Source organism: Homo sapiens, chromosome 18 (genome assembly GCF_000001405.40).
Source record: "Homo sapiens chromosome 18, GRCh38.p14 Primary Assembly".
NCBI lineage: Eukaryota > Metazoa > Chordata > Mammalia > Primates > Hominidae > Homo > Homo sapiens.
In genome coordinates this window covers 62,438,174-62,444,549 of record NC_000018.10, presented here as the reverse complement: position 1 = coordinate 62,444,549, position 6,376 = coordinate 62,438,174, and the positions used below count along the sequence as shown (strand labels likewise).

At 48.1% G+C, this 6,376-nt stretch overlaps 1 pseudogene; it reads right to left on the bottom strand.

Annotated features, from left to right (window-relative positions):
• Positions 835-2,626, bottom strand: ACTBP9 (ACTB pseudogene 9; annotated as a pseudogene).

Here is a 6,376-nt window from a genome sequence, read left to right as displayed (position 1 = left end):
GCCCCAGAAGCTGCTTCTCCCTGGGGTCTGCATTCAATTAACACTTTTTTTTTTTTTGAGACGGAGTCTCGCTCTGTCACCAGGCTGGAGTGCGGTGGCGCGATCTTGGCTCACTGCAACCTCCAACTCTTGGTTCAAGAGATTCTCCTGCCTCAGCCTCCTGAGTAGTTGGGACTACAGGCACGTGCCACCATGCCCAGCTAATTTTTGTATGTTTAGCAGAGACGGGTTTTCACCATGCTGGCCAGGATGGTCTCGATCTCTTGACCTTGTGACCTGCCCACCTTGGGAGAGCGTTAGACTGAAGATCTAAAGGTCCCTGGTTAGATCCTGGGTTTCGGCAATTAACGCTTTTAATGTTAACAGGTGTGGACCATCCAGAGATTGTCTCTCCCTGGCTGCCCAATTACCATTTTTAGAGCAGCAATGTGGTAACTGCTGAGCCATCACTTGACATTCCTAGTGTGTTGGGGGAGAGCCCTCTCCTGCCCCGCTCATGCCTGTCTAATTACCTAGAACAGACCTAGACCCAGACCGGATAATGGGCACCTCCCCCTGGGCTCCTGCTCAGTGTCCTACCCTGCATATGGCCCTTTCCCAGGCAGCTCCGTGGGTCTCTTCTGATTTAGGAATGGACCATGCTTCTGGGGTGACTGAATTTCCACACAGCACCCAGGGAACGAGTTAACCTCTATTTTGAATATATTCCATAAATCACTCTAGTTGATCTAAATATGGTTCTGGAATCATGAAAATAAAGTATAAGTGTGGTGCATGTCATGAGAATACAAAATGGTACTTCTTAGAACCCATTTTATTTTATTTTATTATTTTATTTTTAAGGTGTGCACTTTTATTCAGCTGGTCTCAAGTCAGTGTACAGGTAAACCCTGGCTGCCTCTACCCACTCCTAGGGAGACCAAAAGCCTTCATACATCTCAAGTTGGGGGACAAAAAAGGGGCACCACGAAGGCTGATCATTCAAAATGAAGCAAAATTAAAAAGTATTAAGGCGAAAATTAAAAAAGTTTTGCATTACATAATTTACATGAAGCAATGCTATCACCTCCTGTGTAGACTCGGGAGGGGACTGGGCCATTCTCCTTAAAGAGAAGCGGGGTGGCTTTTAGGAGGGCAAGGGACTTCCTGTAACAATGCATCTCACAATATTTGGAATGATTATTAAAAAAAAAAGAACAATGTACAATCAAAGTCTCGGCCACATTGTAGAACTTCGGGGGATGCTTGCTCCATCCAACTGCTGTCACCTTCACCGTTCCAGTTTTTAAATCCTGAGTCAAGCCAAAAAAAAAACCATAAAAAACAAAAAAGCAAATAAAGCCATGCCAATCTCATCTTGTTTTCTGCTCAGGTTAGGTTTTGTCAAGAGAGGGTGTAACGCAACTAAGTAACAGTCCGCCTAGAAGCATTTGTGGTGGACGATGGAGGGGCTGGACTCGTCATACTCCTGCTTGCTGATCCATATCTGCTGGGAGGTAGACAGCGAGGCCAGGATGGAGCTGCCAATCCACATGGAGTATTTGCGCTCAGAAGGAGCAATGATCTTGATCTTCATCGTGCTTGGAGCCAGGCCGGTGATCTCCTGCATCCTGTCGGCGATGCCAGGGTACACGGTGGTGCCGCCAGACAGCACTCTGTTGACGTACCGGTCTTTGCAGATGTCCATGTCACACTTCATGATGGAGTTGAAGGTAGTTTCATGGATGCCACAGGATTCCATGCCCAGGAAGGAAGGCTGAAAGAGTGCCTCAGGGCAGCGGAACTGCTCATTGCAGATGACTTGGCCACCTGGCAGCTCCTAGCTCTTCTCCAGCAGGGGGTTGGAGGCCACCATGGCCATCTCCTGCTCAAAGTCCAGGGCAACATAGCACAGCTTCTCCTCGATGTCATGCACGATTTCCCGCTTGGCCGTGGTGGTGAAGCTGTAGCCGCGCTCGGTGAGGATCTTCATGAGGTGGTCAGTCAGGTCTGGGCCAGCCAGGTCCAGATGCAGGATGGTGTGGGGGAGGGCATACCCCCCCGTAGATGGGCACAGTGTGGGTGAGCCCATCACCAGAGTCCATCACGATGCCAGTGGTATGGCCAGAGGCTTACAGGGACAGCAAGGCCTGGATGGCCACATACATGGCTGGGGTGTTGAAGGTCTCAAACATGATCTGGTTTACCTTCTCGTGGTTGGCCTTGGGGTTCAGAGAGGCCTCGGTCAGCAGCAGGGGGTGCTCCTCAGGAGCCACATGCAGCTCACTGTAGAAGGTGTGGAGCCAAATCTCCTCCATATCCTCCCAGTTGGTGACGATGCCATGCTCGATGCGGTACTTCAGGGTCAGAATGCCTCTCTTGCTCTGGGCCCTTGTCGCCCACGTAGGAGTCCTTCTGACCCATGCCCACCATCACACCCTGGTGCCTGGGGTGCCCCATGATGGAGAGGAAGACGGCCTGGAGAGCACTGTCGCCTGCGAAGCCAGCCCTGCACATGCCAGAGCCATTGTCGATGACGAGGGCGACAGTATCATCATCCATGGTGAGCTGGCAGCAGGTGTGGATGGGCGGCGGAGTGGCAAGGGACAAGGCTCTGTGCTCGCCGGGCAGATGCGGTCTCCGCGGTCTAGAACCCATTTTAGCTGGTAGCAACAATTCAGCCAGGTTCTGTGCCTCTGTTTAGCACCTTCTGTTTATGAGATAGGTAGTAGAGCCTACCAGGCAGTCACAAGACTTCAATCCACCTGGGTCAGCAGACCCTTTGTGTGGCATGGCATGAAATATTAATATACCGCCTTTCCTTAAAACCTGCACCTAGAGGCCTCAGTGTCTTCTCTTCCAACTCAGAGACCACCTTCCTCTATCTGCATTTTATCCTCTGCAGGTTGAATGGATCCCATGACATCTGGTGCAGAGATTCCTCAGCTCAGCAGTGCCTCAGAGTGATTCTTAGAGAGGACTAGGAACCAAGAGGCAAATGCACGAGGCACAAGTGGGCTTTGCCCCGGCGAAGGTGGAGGGAATGGGCCACTGGTGTCAGACGCTGGGATCAGATGCTCTGCCCGGCCACCTTCTCAGCCTGCTCCTGTGGATTACACCATTCCTCGTCTTCCCAAATGCCAGCCCTGCCAGCTGGGAAGCCCAGGGACCAGGTGATTGCTGTGCCTGGAATCTATCAGTCCTCTGAAAATGGCTTCTCCCTTGGCCACCAAAGGGGAGTAAACAATGCCATGGAGATTAAAATAATCATCAACAAGGACACTGGTTAATTGGGAAAGGTATTTTCCTTTTTTTTTCCTTTTTTTCTTTTTTGAGATGGAGTTTCGCTCTTGTTGCCCAGGCTGGTGTGCAGTGGCACGATCTCGGCTCACTGCAACCTCTGCCTCCCAGGTTCAAGGGATTCTCCTGCCTCAGCCTCCGAAGTAGCTGGGATTACAGGCATCTGCCACCATGCCTGGCTAATTTTGTATTTTTAGTAGAGATGGGGTTTCACCATGTTAGCCAGGCTGGTTTCAAACTCCTGACCTCAGGTGATCCACCCGCCTCGGCCTCCCAAAGTGCTGGGATTACAGGCATGAGCCATTGCGCCCAGCTGGGAAAGGTATTTTTCTTTACCAAAGAGAGTAAAGAACTATTGATTAGTAATTAAAGTCTGTGTAAACATACAACATGGTTGCTAAGGGTTTTCTTTTCTTTTCTTTTCTTTTTTTTTTTTTTTGAGACAGAGTCTTGCTCTGTCTCCAGGCTGGAGTGCAGTGGCACAATCTTGGCTCTCTCAACCTCTGCCTCCCACGTTCAAGCAATTCTCCTGCCTCAGTTTCCCGAGTAGCTGGGACTACAGGCGTGCACCACCATGCCCAGCTAATTTTTGTATTTTTAGTAGAGACCGTGTTTCACCATGTTGGCCAGAATGGTCTCGATCTCTTGACCTCATGATCCGCCTGCCTCGGCATCCCAAAGTGCTGGGATTACAGGCGTGAGCCACTGAGCCCAGCCAGGTTGCTAATGCTTTTCTATTATTTTCAGTAATAATTATAAATTAAGGAAAAGGCAAGAAGATTTGAGGATTTTTATCCCTGAAGATGAAATATGGGTTGTATTCAGAAGCTCTCAAAAAATAGTAAGAAATATTATGTTGAAAAATATATCAAACAATGGGAAAAAGTACCTTCGTATTTTTTTCCTAGCTATTAATTGTTAAGTGGGATCTAATTAAACTAAAGAGATTCTGCACAGCAAAAGAAACTACCATCAGAGTGAACAGGCAACCTACAAAATGGGAGAAAATTTTCGCAACCTACTCATCTGACAAAGGGCTAATATCCAGAATCTACAATGAACTCAAACAAATTTACAAGAAAAAAACAAACAACCCCATCAAAAAGTGGGCAAAGGATATGAACAGACACTTCTCAAAAGAAGACATTTATGCAGCCAAAAAAACACATGAAAAAATGCTCATGATCACTGGCCATCAGAGAAATGCAAATCAAAAGCACAATGAGATACCATCTCACACCTGTTAGAATGGCAATCATTAAAAAGTCAGGAAACAACAGGTGCTGGAAAGGATATGGAGAAACAGGAACACTTTTACACTGTTGGTGGGACAGTAAACTAGTTCAACCATTGTGGAAGTCAGTGTGGCGATTCCTCAGGGATCTAGAACTAGAAATACCATTTGACCCAGCCATCCCATCACTGGGTATATACCCAAAGGACTATAAATCATGCTGCTATAATGACACATGCACACGTATGTTTATTGTGGCACTATTCACAATAGCAAAGACTTGGAACCAACCCAAATGTCCAACAATGATAGACTGGATTAAGAAAATGTGGCACATATACACCGTGGAATACTATGCAGCCACAAAAAAGGATGAGTTCATGTCCTTTGTAGGGACATGGATGAAATTGGAAATCATCATTCTCGGTAAACTATCGCAAGGACAAAAAACCAAACACTGCATGTTCTCACTCATAGATGGGAATTGAACAATGAGAACACATGGACACAGGAAGGGGAACATCACACTCTGAGGACTGTTGTGGGGTGGGGGGAGGGGGGAGGGATGGCATTAGGAGATATACCTAATGCTAAATGACGAGTTAATTGGGTGCAGCACACCAGCATGGCACATGTGTACATATGTAACTAACCTGCACATTGTGCACATGTACCCTAAAACTTAAAGTATAATAATAATAATAAAAAAGAAAAAAAATTGTTAAAGCGATTTTCTCAGGCAAAGTGCCCTGATTAACTGAATCTTCCCAACCAATGACCATGTATGCGACAAAGGACCTGGCGACTGAGCCTGTTGAAGGTCTGCTTCCCCAAGGTGTAAAGAAAGAGATTAGTTCCCCACCCCCTACTGCCTCATGGGCCTTCTCACGGCAACCATTGCTTACAAAAGGGTCTGATAATTTTATGTTTTAATGACCCCATTTCCAGCACCAAGTAGCCTGTGATTGCCCCCATTTTTCTCGGGTCATTTGCTTGGCTGCTGAGCTGACAAAGCTGCCGTAGGCCTTCAGTTTACATTCAGAATCACTGATGCGCCACAGCAGACAGCGTAGAGAATGGACTCAGCCTCATCTGAGCCCCAACATAGCTGCTGGGTGCTTGGGTCCCACAGCTGCTTTGTGAGTGAAGCCGTGCCTCAGTTTCCTCACCTGTAATATGAGGGTATTTATACCTACTGTCTTAGTTTGGGTTTCCTCTCTCCCAAGAGCAGAACCTGAGTGAAGACTTGGGAGCAGGTATATTATTTGGAAAGTGTATTAGTTTGAGAAGGCTGCTGGAACCGATGACCACAAACTGGGTGGCTTGAAATAACAGAAATGTATGTGTCAGAGTCCTGGAGGTCAGATGTCCAAACATCAAAGTGTTGGCAGAGCTATGCTCTTTCCGAAGGTCCCAGGGTAAAATCGTCCCCTGCCTCTTCCTCGGCACGCCTGGGCTTGGAGCGGCATCCCTCCGGTCTCTGCCTCCGTCGCCACGTGGCCTTCTCCGTGTCTCTGTGCGTCCCTTTCCCTCTCTTATGAGGACACTCTCATTGGATTGAGGGCTCACCCTAATCCAGTGTGATCTCATCTCCCCCCTTAATTACATCTGCAAAGATCCTGTTTCCAAATGAGGCTGTATTCTGAGGTTCTGGGTGGACGTGGAATTTTGGGGGAATGCAACTTAGCCCCAGCACAGGGCTCATGGCTCCTTTCAGGTCCTAATCCCGGACTTACCCCATGTTGACCTTTAAGACGGACTAACTTAATGGGTATGCGACTTGGACGTCCTAGGAAGGGTAAAGGGTGTGGCTGGCGCTCAGGGTTCCTTCCTCACCACTCACCCCGGCCGAAATGTCCACAT